Here is a 16,680-nt window from a genome sequence, read left to right as displayed (position 1 = left end):
CCCTAGAAATGGGGCGGGGGGTGGGGGCGATGCTGGATTCCAGCAGATGGAAACGATTCTACAAAAAGAAGCCTGGAGCTTTGAATAGAGCTGTAACGTAAATAAAATATCGTGTCAGTGTTAGTTTCCTGGCTTTGGTAACTGTGCTGTGCTTAGCAGCAGACCGGGGCGTTTTCATCTCCCTATTCTTTCCCTCCTTCCTCTCCTCAGTCCTCCGCTCATTCCCACCCTCCTGTGGCATGAAGCGCGTGTGCTCAGCTCGCCCTCCTTCACCTCCTCCCTTCTCGCCTACTTCATCACGGAGGGAGCTTTCGAACCGGCTCCTGGGACCTCCTCCCCGCCCCGCGGACACAGCACAGACTGCAGCGCCTCTCCTCTCCGCGAAGCTGCACCAACTTTATTTGCAAAAAGAGGCTCCAAGCGCACGGAGAGGATGGGGGCTGCAAGGTCCCCACCCTCCTCCCGGCCTCCCGCGGCCCCTGCCCTCCTCCAGGCCCCCCACGGCCCCCGCCCCGCCGGCTACACGATCCCGAACTGGCAGATGTAGGGCAGCTGATCGCGGCAGCGCTTGTCGAACCACTTGCCGTTGGCCGCGCCTGACAGGACCGCGCAGTTCTCGGTCTTGCCGCCATCGGGTTGCGCGGTGATCTCAGTCTCCCAGTTCTTGTAGGCGATGCGGGCGCCGGTCATGTCCACCCAGGTGCCCTCGGCCGCCATGTCGTTGAGGCCCAGCCAGATCTCGGCCTCGTTGCCCACGCTCTGGCGCAGGTACTCATACAGGGCGTCGTTCTCCGAGCCAGTCTGAGGGGTGCCCAGGGTGCCCCCGCGCGAGATGCAGTCCTCGCTGGCCTCGTGGAAGGTCTTCGTCTGGGTGAAGGCCAGAAAGCATTTCATGTGCACCTTGGTCCCCTTCAGGCAGACTGGGAGTGGGGAGAAATGGCTGTCACCGAAGGTCCCCCTGTTCCCCAGGCAAAGAGCCAACCGCCCAGGCCAAGCCCACCGTCCTCCATCCCATCCCGTTTATCCCATCAGTCCTGACAGCCCCTTAGACCCAGGCAAAAGGGGTCCTGATGGTTCATGCACTTTGAGGACCTGGCTGTGGTGGCCACTAATGTACAGATCCAGATCCCCACTCAGGAGGTCTTGGTGCTCCCGCGGCTGGGAGAAAAGGCAGCCCTTGTGCTACAGAAGCACCCAGCCCCAGCTGACACCCCTTCCCAGGCCTCCACCTCAGTCATTTCTGGCCTTTACCCACCCCATCTCCTTGGGTCACAGAGGCTGGCCTGGTGCCTGCACTGCAGCTCAGCTCTCCCTCTGCCCACTTCCTCTTCCCCCCGCCCCCACATGTGTGGCTCCTAGGGCTCACCCTAACAAATTAGCTCTGTCTCAGAGTCAGCTTCCCAGGGAGCCCAGCCACAGCCACCTGCTCTGGTTCTCCTTCCTCCATGCCCCTCCCTAAGATCAAGCAGCTTGCAGGGCCAGGGCACCTGCCCACCTACAGCCTAGGCCACACTTCATGTACCCAGGGCCCCAAATCCCTACCCAAACAGCCCAAGCAAGCTTCCAGGGCCTGCCAAGTGCCTTTTGCAGGGTCAGTTCTCCTGAGGGCTGGTAGGGTGGGGCTGAGTGGATAGAGCTGAGACTGCAAGAGAGAAGACAGGAAGTGCTGGGCACAGGCTGTGGTCAGAGGCCGGCGATCAGGCAAGGGACTCTGAGGTGTCCACAAATTCTCAGTTTGAGCCTGGCCCCAAAGGTTGTGATGAAGGCACATATTTGGTCAAGTTAGGAGGATAAAATCTATTTTTGTTTTGCAGTTTGCATTTTCAGCTTGATTTCTAGCTGAAATATCTAGACATACTCTGATTTCTCCTGAGATCGTATAAATCGTTCACCTTTTACTAAAGATTTCTGTGGAAAGGAATATCTTGACAGACAGGTGTATGTCTGCATTTGTCCTCTTGCTGGTGACCCCACCACTTTGGGGGATGTCTGCACTCCCCTCTATCCATTCCCACTCAGTTACTTCCATTTCACTCAACAAATATCAATGGACAGCATCCCAGTGTCCCCATGGGCATCTGACACCACAACCGACTTTAAACATGGGGCCTGAAGCATTACAGAGGTGTCTACCCACAGACTCTGCCCCAAGTCAGCTGTCCTACCTCGTGCTATCCTACAGCTTAGCCAAGCGGCCTTCATTGCCTTTCCTTCCTGCTGGTAACACTGACGTGCTACCTAGACTTTTGTTGGGGATGAAGGATTCACTGCCCTGGCTGCCAGGAATGCTGCAGGAAGAAAGTCCTCAGCTTTCAGCCTCCTGCAGGGACTGCCTCAGCAGAAGACAGCCATCTCTTCCAAGGCCGTGCCCCTCCCTAGAGCAGCCTACACCCAAGACTGACCCATAAGCCCTCTTGCCCCGACTCAGGACAGTGCCGAAGGGTCATCCCGTCATCAGGGCTCCTGAAGTCAGCTGAGGCTTTCGTGGCACCACAGTACAGCTCGACTTCTCCTTCTGCCCACTCCTGCTTCCTTCCATCCCTTCCCTAGCACAGGGGTTGATCCTGAGGGTATCTCCTGATAAGTCTCCTGTGGGTTAAACTCCATCTCAGAGTTGCTTCCTAGGACCCTCACCTGAACCTCCCTCCAACACATAGGTAGTCCTCAGTCAATGCTACTTCTCGTGATACTATCATTGCTGCCAACATTTTGTTGCTCTGGTCTATTCATGATCCTGTCGATTTATGCTAGTCCTCCACACCTCTGCTCCTGCCCTGCCATCTGCTTGGAATCAACCCTCTTTATCTTCTCTGATTCCTACACAGCTTTCAAGGGCTCAAGTGATTCCATGAATATATTGAGGTTCCCAGGGAGCAGGGCCCTGGCTGCATCACCTCTGCCTCCTTGTGCCTGGCAGAGATGTACCAGGTGGGAACCTCCCATGTGTATGCTGGTTGGAGGAGGGAAAGGTTGCCCCCTGATTCCTTCAACTCTGGTTAGGTCAACAGAGCTCTGCAATGCTTTGGGTGGGTTTATTGAAAAGGTGATCTTTGGGTTGTGAGGACAATGAACAGGAGAAGGCCCCAAGAAGCCCAGCAGCTTCCTAGAAATCAGCAGACATGGGGGCTTTCATATGTCATGCTTTGGGCCTCCATATGTCATGAACTTTTTTCAGGGAGGTCCCCACCTCATTACCTCACCCCAGGTGGCAGTTGATGCCTGGGTTACATTGACTTTGCACAGCACAGAGCTTAGACATGAGAGAGACCTTAGAGTTTACCCTGCCTACCTTACAGATGAGGAAACTGAGGCTCAGAGTGGCACTGGGCTCATTCTAAACATACCCGCTGTGCCAGGCACTGTTGCCTCCAAATCCCTTCTCTCTTGTCCACCTCCACTATAGAGGCTGGAAAAGCTACATTCTTGCATTCTCAGATGTTCTTAAAGCTGCAGGTGGCCATATGATAGATTTCTTGTCAATGAGATGGAAGTGGAAGACTACGTTCCCTATAAATGAGACAGATGTGGTTGGGCTACTCTTCCTCCTTCTTGCCTTGAATGCACTCATGATGCCTGGAGTTGGGGCAGCCATCTGAAGACCATGAGGTGAAACTTCTGAACAAAAACTTATAACTACCTACTTGCAGACTTACTTTTTGTTTAAGCCACTGATAGGTTTCCTATTACATGAAGTCAAAAACACCTCTGGAGATGCTCCCTTTCTCGAGCACTCTCTTCCTACCTGCCATGCCAAGCAAGCTGTCCAAAGTTACATGTTTGTCCTTCCTTCAACAGAGATTGACTGAGTGTTGCTATGTGGCAGGCACTATGCTGGGCAGGGTAGTGGAAGAGACAAGGGCAATGAAAAGCAAACATGGCCCTTGTGTTCTCAGGGCTTACTATAGTCTAGTGGAGGCAGCAGACACAAATCAGGAAATGAGTGTATCATTACAGACTGCAGTCAGTGTGATAAAAGAAAGGACACTGTTCTGGGAGAGCTTATAACTGAGGAGCTGATTGAGATGAGGGATTAGTGACTCCTGAGAAGATAATGCTGGAGGCATTTATTAGGTGGATCTTGGGGGAGCAATTCAGGTTGCCCAAACAGCACATGCAAAGGCCCTGTGGTGGGAGTGCAGAAGGATGGCAGTGTGAATGCTGAAGGAAAGCATATGAATGGGAGGGAGTGTGTAAAACCATCCGGTGAGAAGGCTGTTGGGGGTTTCTGAGGAGGCAGGCGGGGAAGGGAAGGCCTTGCAGATGGATGGGCCTTGGTCACAAAAGCAACAGGTAAGAGAGTGGCTGTGGACACAGGGTGGTTTATAGATTTGCTGAGGAGTCAAGGTGATTTCCCAGCTGATAACTCGAGGGGCAGCATAGCAGAGCTAAGTGAGGCTCTGCTCCTTTCGGCTGTCACAAGGTCCTTCTCGGTGGAAAATAAGGGTGAGGATGTAGTAACAGGACCACTGCACGGGTGTGCTGTGAATGAGTTAACGTGCATCAAGCATCAAGAACAGTGCCAGAATGTAGTGGGCTCACATGTAAATAGTCATCAGTATTGTGAGTCTGCATCAAGCATCAAGAACAGTGCCAGAATGTAGTGGGCTCACATGTAAATAGTCATCAGTATTGTGAGTCTGTGTTCTCCATAGAATGGAAGGTGAGGTCATATAAAGGTAGGTAAATCGGAGGTATGTGGAAAATGCAGACTATATGACAGGAACATGGGGAGTGAGAAACAATAGGCTGCCAGGTATGCTGGCCAGAGGGCATGACCTTACCATGCGCCTGGGCCCTGTTCTTGGTGATTCTGTGCACCCTCCCTCAGCTGGCTAGTGCAGAGCCAGGAACACCAAGGCCCAGCTTGGCACTGGGCAGCCTGCCTCCATTCAACTCTTGCTCTTCCACGAGTCAACTAACCAACGAGGTGAGTATGAGCCAGGTTCAGGACCTGTCTATGCCTCAGTTGCTGCTGACACATCTTTAAAATGGAGCTGACATTTCATGGAGCTGACAGCTCATCTTTAAAATGGAGCTGACAAATCCCACCTCAGCAGAGTTACGATTAAGAGAGACAGGGTCAGCAAAGCTGCTGACACACAGGAGTGTGGAGCTCTCTGGGGCTGCAGAGGCCAGCTGAGTGAGGGGCTCCTGGGAGCTTTGCTAGGGTGGGCCACTACCTCTGCCCCATCGAGCGCTCCAGGGTCACTTCTGGTGGGCAGTAGTGGATTCTTGTTGGAGAATTTTTTGTCCTCTTGGGACATCCCCACTTCCACACCACCCAGCTGTGGCCAGAGATTTGGCCGTACACATCCAGGTGAGTTTTGCAGACACGTGTCAGGGGATCTCCCCAAGAGAAAGAGGTGGGGCTCCCTGAACCTGGTGCCTTCACCCATAGGCCTGGACTAATGGAGCCAGGACCCTGATGCTGAACGGAGGCGAGAAGAGCATTGCTGGCTGCTGGCCTGGGCCCTTCTCTCAGACGCTCCTGCCCAGAGAGGCTACTGCCTGCACTCACCCGTCTGCAGGGCCTGCTGCTCCTTCAGCAGGGCCACCTCCTGGGCCAGGGTGTCCAGACGGCTCTTGAGCTCCTCAAACATCTTTGTGTTCACAACATCTGAAGCAGGAGGAAATATGTCAGGGTGGGGCAGGGACTGAGCAGGAAGGATCCTACCTTAGCTGCAGAGGGATGAGAGGAAAAGACTCCCCTCAACCTTGATATCTTGGGAAACTTTCTCTCTCTCTATCCTTGCTGGTGGTAGTCTAATTAACCACTTGTGACTTCTGCCAGGGGGCCCATCCTTCACTTGCTCCTGTGCTGCATTTGTTTGGGATTGTTGCTGGGGATCAGATGGGGCTGGGATTAGCAGAGGCAGGGGTGAGGGTGTAGGCACAGGCTTCAGTGATCCCCCACCACCCAGCTACCTTTTCAGCTCCAGGGAAGAACAGCACAGGAAGCACAGCAGGAGCCCTCAAGAAGCCCCCAGGTTCACTTCCCCAGGCTGGAGGAATGCGACACAGACCAGCAGGCACTCCAGCCTGGGGCACGCATATGCAGGGCTTGGAGGTGCCACAGACACGGGTGGCCTGGGCGAGCTGCTCAGCCTCTCTGGATTTGGTTCCCTCATGTATGAAGTGGATGATGACAGCCCCACCTCCTAGGACTCTGGAGAAGACTAAGAGAACTGAAACGCAGAGCTGCCTACCTCAGTGCTTGGCTGAGTGTGTGCCCATCACAGCTACTAATAAGATGAGGGCAGAAGGAACCCAGGTTTTCCACTCTTACAGAGGAGGCCAGGCTCTGGGCTAAGCCGTTCTACATGTCACCCCATGTGATGCTCATAATCAACCCTATGACACAGGTAACGTGTCATTCTGTACCACCAGCATTTCACCATGAGGAAACCCAGGCTGCCCTAAACCAACTGGCCGAGGATGGCAGAGCCCCAGCTGGCAGGGCTGGCCTGGAACCCAGGTGCACATGGCTCTGAAGCCATGCTCTTCCCCACCTTCCCCATGGCACACAAACGGATTCCTAACAGGAGCTGTCCTGCTGGCAGCCAGTCATGTAAGAGTCAGCAGGGGAAGGCGGGGAAGCATATTTCTATGTGTGTGTAAGTTGAGGGTGCCGGGAAGCATATTTCTATGTGTGTGTAAGTTTAGAGCTCCTGGGGCGGACCCTGGTCTTTCTGAAACACCAGGGCTTCAGGAAAGGCTGCACTCAGCTTGGGGAAGTGGGTGGGGAAACACTTTAATGGTCCATTTGGCTGTGTCTGCATACATTCCACACTCACAAAGAGTGAGATCAGAGCCTTCGTCCACCCATAAGGTGCCTTTGCAGAAGAATCACAGGCAAGACACATGGTTGTGTATATAGAAATTAGCGATGTAACTTACCAAACTGGAGCAAAAACACCCTGATGAGCAAGGCAAAAAAAGGGAGAGTTTGGGGCTGGCAAACCAGCCTGAGGTCATGTGTGCCTCACACAGAGACTGCCTCCACCAGTTATAGCAGCACTGTACCCAGTCACGTGATGTACCAGCATAGGGTGCCATGTGAGGCTGTGCAAGGGGGCACTGAAGAAGGGCATTCTGCTGAGGGACACATGAAGGCCCATTTGTCTCCTAAGCCTTGCCCTGGCTAGAGTGGGTCAGACCAGAAAAAGAGATGCCTTTCTATAATTTGTCAGTTTAGAGGAGGTACCTTTTGTAATTTGCACCAAGGTGCCCATATGTGCAAAGTTTCCTCCAGGGACTGTCCAAGGTACAGGAAGCTACTCTCATTAGCTCCACCTGAGGAAGCTGTGGGAGTAGGTGTCTCTACGGCCCTGGGCAGAGTCAGGAGGCCTTTGTGCTGGCCCACTCTCTGAGCCTCAGGTTCCTTCTGCGTGATGTTAGAATGGATGCCCTCCAGGTTCCCCCAGTTCCCTGTTCTAAAGGCCTGTGACTCCTATGAGGCCATCCTTCCCTCCGGAGCTTCCCTGCCAGGTGTGACCATGTGGCCCCAAGAACAGATGAGCTCCCAGAAGTACTCTAGGCTCCCCGCTTCTCACCCACCCTGAGGGCCAGGACAAGGACTTAGCATATGCTGGCATTCCCTTCCTTTGCCAGTCCTGCCACTTGCTCTCCCCCTCTTGGCCCTGGCACCAACTGGTCTCCTCTGGCATGACCGTCCCTTCTTTGGACTTTCTCCCGTACTTTTGGGCACCAGCCCTGCAACTAGATTGCCCCTGAGATTCTCATTCCTGGCTGCTCCTAGGAATCCCTGAAGACCTGTGGAAAAGGCAGATGCTAAACTCACCAAGATCCCTAAACCAGCATTTCCAGGGGTGGGGCCCAAGCACCTGAATTCTTAACTTTTATTTTATTTATTGATTTATTTTTGAGACGGAGTCTCACTTACTCTGTCACCCAGGCTGGAGTGCAGTGGTGCAATCTCGGCCCATTGCAACCTCCACCTCCCAGGTTCAAGCAATTCTCCTGCCTCAGCCTCCTGAGTAGCTGGGACTACACGTGTACACCATCACACTCAGCTAATTTTTGTATTTTTAGTAGAGACAGGGTTTCACCATGTTGGCCAGACTTGTCTTGAACTCCTGGCCTCAAGCGATCCTCCCACCTTGGCCTCCTAAAGTGCTGAGATTACAGGCTTGAGCCACCACGCCTGGCCAAGGCACCTGGATTCTAATGTATCTCCCAGATGATGTTGATGCCTGAGTGAGAACCACCATGGTTCATGTCTTAAGAGCAGAGACGGTGTTTCTCTGCTGTGTGTCCAGCATATAGACTGGTGCCTACGTGGAGAAAGAGCTCTATAAGTGCCTGCCATGTTGGTGGGCGGGAGACTGCCATGGGTTTCAGCGAGAGGCAGGGCCTGGGTGGCTGTTCTGTTGGCCTGTAGCCCTGGAACTCCAGGGGCCCCTTCTATGGAGACCACATAGGGCCAGGGTTCAAGTGTGACAGCTGGAGAGAACCAAGGCATCACGTGCTCTGACCCTTTTTTTTTTAACATGAGTTTAAAAAGATTTACATAATTATATTAATACTGAATCTTTGGTAAACTTGAGAAGCTGGCGATGGTTTTCCACATTCAAAAATTCTATGATTTGCCTTTGGAGCTGCATCTTTTACAAAGGCTCTCCCTTGGTGGCGATTTTGGCTAATGCTCATAGACGTAACTATGCACGGTATTGTCTTCTCTTTTTAAATGAACATTTTGTGGAAGGTAATATACACACATAATTTTTTAAAATCCAAACAGTTCAAAAAGCTGGTTTCTTTCCCAGTTGAGACTGCGCCCAGCCCCTGGTTTTTCTTCCCAGAGGTAATCACTGTTACTCACTCTTGTGGATCCTTCCAGAAAGAACTTATGCACATACAAGTAAAAATGTATTATTATATAAATCCCTTTTTCAAAGCAAATGTCAGCATCATACTCATTCTCTTTTGAATGTTTCTTTTTTCACTTTGTAAACTGAATCTTGAAGATGATTTTTTTATCAGCAGCCAGATTTGCCCCATTCTTTGTCACAGTGTTGTGAGGCCCCATGGCCCCGATGTCCCTTTATGCACTGCACTAGTTCCTGGCCAGTGGGCAACTGTCCATTTATGAAGAGCCCCGGGAGGGCCTAAGGGAGGCCCCCACAGCCCCTTCTTTCCTTTTCTGTGCCCTTGGTCCTAGCTGCTTGTTTCTCTGCCTCAGTCCCCACCCTCATCCCCTTGGACTCTCTTCTAGCCTCTGCTCCCTGGGGGGGTGACAGCCCCGTCCATTGCCATGACATTCCACTGATGTTGTCTCAACACAGCCTGGGGTGACCTCACTGCAGGCGGGGCTGCAAGGGCAAGTCTTGCTGTAGCCAAAGCAACCGAGGGACACCCCAATCCCCAGAGGCTACAAAGCAGAGCAAAGCTGCTTCTGGTGGACTAGTCTGAGTTACATTTATTTCCTGAAGGCTGTGATATGCTACAGAAATGAGAATTCATTTCTTCTTCTTTTTCTTTTCCCTGTGCATCAAGCAACAAGTGAGGTGCCTTTATATATTTTGTATCATAAAATCTTCATGAGAAGTCTTTGAACAAATACCACTGTCCCCATTTTACAGTTGAGAAAACAGGTTGGAAGACTCCAAAGCCCAGCCTGTGCAGCTCTCCCTGGTAAGGGCTGAGCGCTGCCAGACTCCCAGGCCAAAGGTTTGGTTTCTTTAAAATATTGGGGATGAGGGGAGGAGAGAAGAGCAAAGATCAGTTTGGATGATCTGGAAGGTTCTTCCCAACTCTAAGGGTCAGGGATTCTTATGATTCTGACAACCAACTCTGCTATGAGAGAACTCCCCCAAGCCCCAAAGCCCACTTTACTCAAGTTCCCTAGATGACTCAAAAGGAGGAAAATGAAGGAAAGGAGCATGAGGACACACTAAGGAGAGGGGGACCTGCTCCCTGGAAGATGGCACAGGGCTCTGTCCCCCTCCTTACCTTTCTTGGCATTTACAATCTTCTTGGGCTTCTGGGTTGGTGGCTCGGTGGTGACCTGGGTCAGGAGGGAGAAGAGGCAGAGGAGGAGGTAGGCCCCCCAGAGCTCCATGCTGCTGCGCGGGCGGGGGCTGCTGCTGCCTGCAGCGGGTCTGGGTCCGAACGCAGTGACAGCCACGGCCCAGGCTGCACGTCTTAAGGCAGCAGCCAAAGGACCTCTGTCCAGGAAACCCTCCCCAACTTGGCTGCAGGCGTGCCAAAAAAATAAAACAAACACACAAGCCTGCAGAAGGATGAAGTCCTGAGGGCCACAGAGCCTCTCTGCCAGGGAACACCCACGCAGCATCCTGGCCCTGCCTTCTAGAAAGAAGCCCTTATTTCCTAGGATTCTGAGAAACACACGGTGGTTGTCATCACATCTGCGGAGCAGCTACCTTGGGTAGGGGCTGAGGCTGGCTGTTCACTAACATTAACTCACAGAAGCTTCACACCCAAACCACGAGGGAAGCACTGTCCTTTCCCCATTTTACCATTGAGGAAATTGAGGCTCGGTGAGGTTAGGGAATTTGCCCAGGCTACCCAGCTGTCACGGGGTAGCAATGCCCCCTTATAGGGTGATCTGGGGCTGGCTGTCTGATTGGTTTAGAATATTTGTTATGATTATTTTGTGGCTCTGTCTCCATGTACTTGATGCATTTTTTGGTTAAAAAATCCAAGGGATTCCTTCCCTTCTTGTCTTCCCTTTCTCCTGAGTCCTGTCCTAAAGCCACAAAGTGGGGCATAGCAAAGGTGGCGGAGGGAGAAGCCATCGTGCCCCAGAGGTACCAGAGAGGATGTGGGGAGAATGTGCCCTCAAGGGGTGGACTGGTGTGGGGTGTGGGAGCCCAGCAGGGTGGAGGGAGCATCCTGGGGAAAGCAAAGGCCCTGCCTGGAGTGCTGGAGTCCAAGTGAGGCAAGGAGGGGATCCATGTGGGAGAGAGGCTGGTGGCAGAGACGGGAGATTGGTTACACACAGGGATACTGATCAAATAAATCTACTGAAGACAGTGGGAGTTAGGTTTCCTATTGTCAGAGAAGGAAGTTATGTATATGGAGAGAAAACTGGAATGAATCCTGTTGTGTGGGATTAAAATCGGAATGATCAGTGTACCCTTGTGGCCTTGAATACATAAAGATAAGTCCATATATATAGATGGAAATGTGTGTGTGTCTAGTCCCCACAGTCACTGGGGGGCCTGGAGCAGCCAGCCCCGCATAGCCTGGAGCACTCCTAGCACCTGAATACTGGCTTCTGAATATGACTTTCCACTAAAGGAACCAGAGCACCTTGCAGAAACGGCTGATTCTAGCACTGGGAAGTAGGAGTGGGGTGCAGAAAATGAGCCCGGAACTTGTTGTTTTGCCAGAAAACAAGGAAGTGCTTAATGAATAATGGGAACACGTCAGTAGGACACAGAGCCAGCTTGAAGGAGCCTTCAGTGGTCAGAATCAGGGACAATTTGAGCACCAACATAGTGACAGTAACAGATGGGAAACCACCAGTGCACACAGATATAAGTAAGTAAGGGAACGCATTGAAAGTCTGATGTTCTTCAATGGGATGTTTACATAGCCTCAAAGTATCTGCCCACAAAACACTTATCCATTCCAGAGAGAAAAAGAGCAACTTCATGGTGAAGAAGGCTGGCAGACATCACCTCATCTGTGACCAAAGTAAACATCAACAGGGCCAATAAAAAGCTTGCAGCACCTGGGGGGCTGCAGTGAGAATGTGGCATCACTCCATAGGACTCCGGCCAGAGAGACATCAGACAATCCCAAATGGAGGAGCATTCTGCAAAATGACTGCCAGTAATTTTCAAAGCTCCTGGCTGAGGAAGTGTTTCAGGCTGAAGGAGACTGAAGACACAGAACTAAATGCAATATGTGATTCTGGACTGGACCCTCCATTCTCAAGGATGCAGTTGGGACAACCAGAGAAATCTGATGGGGTCTGAGGAGCACACGGCAGTGATGTGTTGTCACATGCTGCATCATGACAGTTCAGTCAACAACAGGCCACATATGTGATATGCTTCCATAAGATTATAATGGGGCAGAAAAATTCCTAACACCTAGTGATGTCACAAAGGGTTGTAAAGTCATAGTGCAACTCATTATTCCCAAGTTTGTGGTGATGCTGGTGTAAACAAATTTACTGCCAGTCATATCGAAGTAGAGCATATAAGGTCATGTTAGCACATAATACTTGATTTTGTTAGTCCGTTTTCACACTACTCTAAAGAACTGCCCAAGACTGGGTAATTTAGAAAGGAAAGAGGTTTAATTGATTTACAGTTCCACACGGCTGGGGAGGCCTCAGGAAATTTACAATTGTGGCAGAAGGTGAAGGGGAAACAAACACCTTCTTCGCAAGGAGGCAGGAGGTACAATGAATGCAGGAGGAACTGCCAAACACTTATAAAACCATAAGATCTCATGAGAACTCACTATCACAAGGACAGCATGGGGGAAACCACCCCCATCGTTCAATGACCTCCACCTGGTCTCTCCCTTGACACATGGGCATTATGAGGATTACAATTCAAGATAAGAATTTGGGTGAGAACATAGTCAAACCATATCATTCTGCCCCACATGATTGTGCTTTGAAATGTGAGAGCATGAGATTTGGGAGGGGCCGGGGTGGAATGATATGGCTTGGCTGTGTCCCCACCCAAAATCTCACCTTGAATTGTAATCCTCATAATCCCCATGTGTCATGGGAAAGACCAGGTGGAGGTCATTGAACCATGGGGGCAAGTTTCTCCCATGCTGTTCTCGTGATAGTGAGTCTCATGAGATCTGATGGTTTTATAAGCATCTGGCATTTCCCCTGCTTGTACTCACTCTGTCCTGCTGCCATGTGAAGAAGGTGTCTGCTTCTCCTTTGCCTTCCACCATGATTATTAGTTTCCTGAGGCCTCCCCAGCCATGCAGAACTGTGAGTCAATTAAACCTCTTTCCTTTCTAAATTACCCATTCTTGGGCAGTTCTTTATAGCAGTGCGAGAATGAACTAATACGATGATAATAAATGACCGTGTCACTGGTTTATGTATTTACTGTGCTATACTTTTTATCATTATTTTAGAGTGTACTCTTTCTACTTTTTTTTTAAAAAAGTTAACTGTGAAACAGCCTAAGGTGGGTCCATCAGGAGGTTTTCCAGAAGAAGGCACTGTTATCATAGGATATGATAGCTCCATGTGTGTGACTGTCCCTGAAGACCTCCCACTGAGACAAGAGGTGGAGGTGGAAGACAGTGACACTGATAATCCTGACCCTGTGTAGGCATGGGCTAATGTGCGTTTGTGTCTTAGTTTTTAACAAAAAGTTTAAAAAGTAAAAAAGTAATAATAACTAGAAAAAGCCTATAGAATAAGGATATAGAGAAAATAATTTTGTACAACTGTTCAATGTGTTTGTGTTTTAAGCTAAATGTTATAAAAGTAAAAAAGTTAAATGAGTTCAAAAGTTTACAAAGTAAAAAAAGTTATGGTAAGCTCAGGTTAATTTATTATTAAAAAAGAAAACCATTTTTTAAAAAAATGTAATGCAGCTTATGTGTGCAGTGTTTTATAGAGTCCAGAGTAGTGTACAGTAATGTCCACGTTCACTCACCACTCACTGACTCACTCAGAGCAACTTCCAGTCCTGCAAGCTCCATTCATGGTAAGTGCCCTATACCAGTGTATCATTTTCTTTATCTTTTATATCAGGAGTCCCCAACCTCCAGGCTATGGACCAGTACTGGTCCACAGTACTGGTCCGTGGCCTGTTAGCAACTAGGCCCATCAGCAGGAGGTGAGTGGTGGGTAGGCGAGCATTACCACCTGAGCTCCGCCTCCTGTCAGGTCAGCAGCAGCATTACATTCTCATGGGAGCACAAGCCCTATTGTGAACTGTGCATGAGAAGGTCTAGGTTGCACACTCCTTATGAGAATCTAACGCCCAATGATCTGAGGTGGAACAGTTTCATCCTGAAACCATCACCCCAACCCCGCATCCGTGGGAAAATTGTCTTCCATGAAACCAGTCCCTGGTGCCAAAAAGGTTGGGGACTGCTGTTTTATACCATATTTTTACTCCACTTTTTCTATGTTGAGATACACAAATACTTACCATTATGTTACAACTGCCTACAGTATTCAGTGCAGTCACGTGCTGTACAGGTTTGTAGCCTAGGAGCAACATACCATACCTGAGAGCCTAGGTGTGTAGTAGGCTATGCCACCTAGGTTTGTGTAAGTACACTCTGTCATGGTAGCACAACGATGAACTCGCCTGACAATGCATTTCTCAGAACGTATTCCCATTGTTAAGCAACGCATGACGGTATCCCTGTTATGGTCCTACTTGATGGTGTGCTGTGATTATGTAGGAGAGTGTCTTTGTCTGTAGGAAACACACATACTGAAGTATTAGACAGCGATATGGTACTGTGTTGACAACTTACATAGTTCAGGGGGAGAATGTTCTTTGTACTGTCGTTGCAAATTTTCTGAGTTTGAGATTCTTCCAAAAGAAAATACAATACTATGTACTTCAGGCTTTTCCCTGCCTTCTAGGGACCCCACCTTCCCCTGTCTGACTTAGGGAGGGATCTCTTATGTAGTAGGCCAGGGAAGCAGGAGGCCAGCTGGGCTGGCCCAGTGCACAGTAGTCCTGCCAAGGGTGGGGGCCCTGAGCACGGAGCAGAGCATTTGCACGGCCCCTCAACGACACTGGGCTCCACCTCTCACATTCTCAGAGTGGGAAGGGTTTTATATTCACAGCTGGGCCCTCGGGAGACAATTTGGAGCCTGATGATTACATAACCTAAAAGGGGCCTTGTTCCTGGAACTCTGGGTGGGTAGCAGATGGTAAAAGAAAATTAATATTTTTGTTAACTGCTTTGCTTTCTTGGTTTTCTCACCTTGGCCCAACTCTATCTTGGCCCTTCAGTGGTAGGAAAATGAACGAAGTATGCTTTCTAAACATGAGGCAACCAGAGGCCCCATGTTTTCCAGGGCTGGCTGATGGTTGAAGCTATGGGGACTGTGGTGGCGTCTCACAGGGCACCGAATGCAGCCAGGGCAGGGCAGAAGGAAGGTGGCCCTCAGGCTGAGGAAGGGACACAGAGGGTGTGGCCAGCTGAGGGGAGGAAGGAATGAGCACAGGGCTCCAGGTGGAAAACACACAAGCAGAGTCTTGGAGCCAAGCAAAAGCACCTTGCATTCCAGATCCCGAGCCAATGAGGACAGGGTGGGGAAGACATAAAGCTGGATATGTAGCTTAGAGGAGCCATCAAGCCATCTTAAAAGACTCTGGATATGAGCCTGGAGACCACGGGAGACCAATGGAGAACCACGCTGAGGAGGGCTGGGATCAGAGCACACTTTGGAGGGAGCACTTTGGCTGCTGAGCATGGAATGCATTGGGGTGCCCAGTGAGGTAGCAGAGAGATATTAAGCATGTGTTCAACATTAGCCCCCAAGCAAGGGGGGACACACCTTCACTGGGGGGAGTGTGACTCTCCTACTAGCCCGGCAAGTGAACTATTCACACTTCAGGAAGGAGACATGCTTAGGAATTTCCATTAAGCAGTAAGCAACGTCTTTGATCTTTTCACCTGCAGGTTTTCGAGGTGTGTGTGCATGTGTATACGTGCACATGCTACACAGAGCTCCTCGACAAGCACCTGGGAGTCCGCCTGTGCTGATAAAATGACTTACGTAGAATCAGGGCAGGGAGGAAGTGGCTTTTGCCTTGGAGCCTCTTCAAGTCTAGGTTTGGCTTGTCTCTCGAGAAGGGTCTATACAGCTGAGAGACACATGGACAGTTCTGACAGGAGGCAAGTTCATCTCACAACTTTAAACATACCCATATGTTCTCATCATTTAGCTCCCACTTATAAGTGAGAACATGCACAAAGAGGGGAACAACACACACTGGGGCCTTATGAACGGTGGATGGTAGAAGAAGGGAGAGGATCAGGAAAAATAATTCATGGGTTCTAGACTTAACCTGGGTGGTAAAATAATCTGCACAACAAGCCCCCATGACACAAGTTTACCTGTGTAACAAACCTGCACATGCACCCAGAACCTAAAATAAAATTAAAAAAGAAAGATACAAACAAAAAAAACCCCCAAAATCATGGAGACAGAAAGTAGGATGGTGGTTTCCAGGGGCTTGGGGTGGGGGGATGAGGATACACATCCTCATCCTGTGTTTCTGGATACACAGTTGTAGATAGGAGAGATGAAAAAGTTCTGGAGATAGACAGTAGTAACAGCTGCAAAACAATTTGAATGTACTTAATGTCACTGAATTGTACACTTAGAAATGGTTAAAGTAACAAATTTTTTTTGAGACGGAGTCTCGCTCTGTCTCCCAGGCTGGAGTGCAGTGGTGCAATCTCAGCTCACTACAACCTCCGCCTCCCAGGTTAAAGCGATTCTCCTGCCTCAGCCTCCTGAGTAGCTGGGACAACAGGTGCCCACCACCCCGCCTAATTTTTTGTATTTTTAGTAGAGACGGGGTTTCACCGTGTTAACCAGGATGGTCTCGATCTCCTGACCTCGTGATTCGCCCACCTCGGCCTCCCAAAGGCTGGGATTACAGGCGTGAGCCACCATGCCCGGCCCAAAATAGTAAATTTTATGTTGTGTATTACCACAATAAAAAG

At 50.2% G+C, this 16,680-nt stretch overlaps 1 protein-coding gene and 1 pseudogene across 3 annotated transcripts, besides 6 other annotated features; one reads left to right on the top strand and one right to left on the bottom strand.

The window, feature by feature from the left end:
- Positions 1-372: 372 nt before the first annotated feature.
- CLEC3B (C-type lectin domain family 3 member B) lies at positions 373-10,141 on the bottom strand. Of its 3 annotated transcripts, none has more exons than NM_003278.3 (3): positions 9,973-10,141; positions 5,519-5,617; positions 373-920 (listed from the first exon to the last, which is right to left on the bottom strand). In NM_003278.3, the coding sequence occupies exons 1-3, from the start codon at positions 10,079-10,081 to the stop codon at positions 520-522; spliced, it is 609 nt and encodes a 202-aa protein (NP_003269.2). In that variant the 5' UTR covers positions 10,082-10,141; the 3' UTR covers positions 373-519. The 3 variants fall into 3 exon arrangements, with proteins under 3 accessions (NP_003269.2, NP_001295323.1, XP_016862605.1); NM_001308394.2 differs by lacking the exon at positions 9,973-10,141 and adding an exon at positions 6,207-6,301; XM_017007116.2 differs by lacking the exon at positions 5,519-5,617.
- Positions 700-1,347: an enhancer, noted in NCBI's record as "H3K4me1 hESC enhancer chr3:45076589-45077236 (GRCh37/hg19 assembly coordinates)". NCBI's record gives its function as "activates a minimal SCP1, AML or CMV promoter by ChIP-STARR-seq in naive H9 embryonic stem cells {active_cell/tissue: H9 hESC(naive)}" and the evidence as "EXISTENCE:reporter gene assay evidence [ECO:0000049][PMID:30033119]".
- Positions 1,169-1,228: an enhancer, noted in NCBI's record as "active region_19775". NCBI's record gives its function as "activates an Ori minimal core promoter by ATAC-STARR-seq in GM12878 lymphoblastoid cells {active_cell/tissue: GM12878}" and the evidence as "EXISTENCE:reporter gene assay evidence [ECO:0000049][PMID:35858748]".
- Positions 1,348-1,997: an enhancer, noted in NCBI's record as "H3K4me1 hESC enhancer chr3:45075939-45076588 (GRCh37/hg19 assembly coordinates)". NCBI's record gives its function as "activates a minimal SCP1, AML or CMV promoter by ChIP-STARR-seq in naive H9 embryonic stem cells {active_cell/tissue: H9 hESC(naive)}" and the evidence as "EXISTENCE:reporter gene assay evidence [ECO:0000049][PMID:30033119]".
- Positions 1,399-1,468: an enhancer, noted in NCBI's record as "active region_19774". NCBI's record gives its function as "activates an Ori minimal core promoter by ATAC-STARR-seq in GM12878 lymphoblastoid cells {active_cell/tissue: GM12878}" and the evidence as "EXISTENCE:reporter gene assay evidence [ECO:0000049][PMID:35858748]".
- Positions 1,855-1,926, top strand: RNU5B-3P (RNA, U5B small nuclear 3, pseudogene; annotated as a pseudogene).
- Positions 8,760-9,259: an enhancer, noted in NCBI's record as "H3K4me1 hESC enhancer chr3:45068677-45069176 (GRCh37/hg19 assembly coordinates)". NCBI's record gives its function as "activates a minimal SCP1, AML or CMV promoter by ChIP-STARR-seq in primed H9 embryonic stem cells {active_cell/tissue: H9 hESC(primed)}" and the evidence as "EXISTENCE:reporter gene assay evidence [ECO:0000049][PMID:30033119]".
- Positions 9,260-9,761: an enhancer, noted in NCBI's record as "H3K4me1 hESC enhancer chr3:45068175-45068676 (GRCh37/hg19 assembly coordinates)". NCBI's record gives its function as "activates a minimal SCP1, AML or CMV promoter by ChIP-STARR-seq in primed H9 embryonic stem cells {active_cell/tissue: H9 hESC(primed)}" and the evidence as "EXISTENCE:reporter gene assay evidence [ECO:0000049][PMID:30033119]".
- Positions 10,142-16,680: the final 6,539 nt, after the last annotated feature.

Source organism: Homo sapiens, chromosome 3 (assembly GCF_000001405.40).
Source record: "Homo sapiens chromosome 3, GRCh38.p14 Primary Assembly".
Taxonomy (NCBI): Eukaryota; Metazoa; Chordata; class Mammalia; order Primates; family Hominidae; genus Homo; species Homo sapiens.
This window is presented reverse-complemented; position numbering and strand designations above follow the sequence as displayed.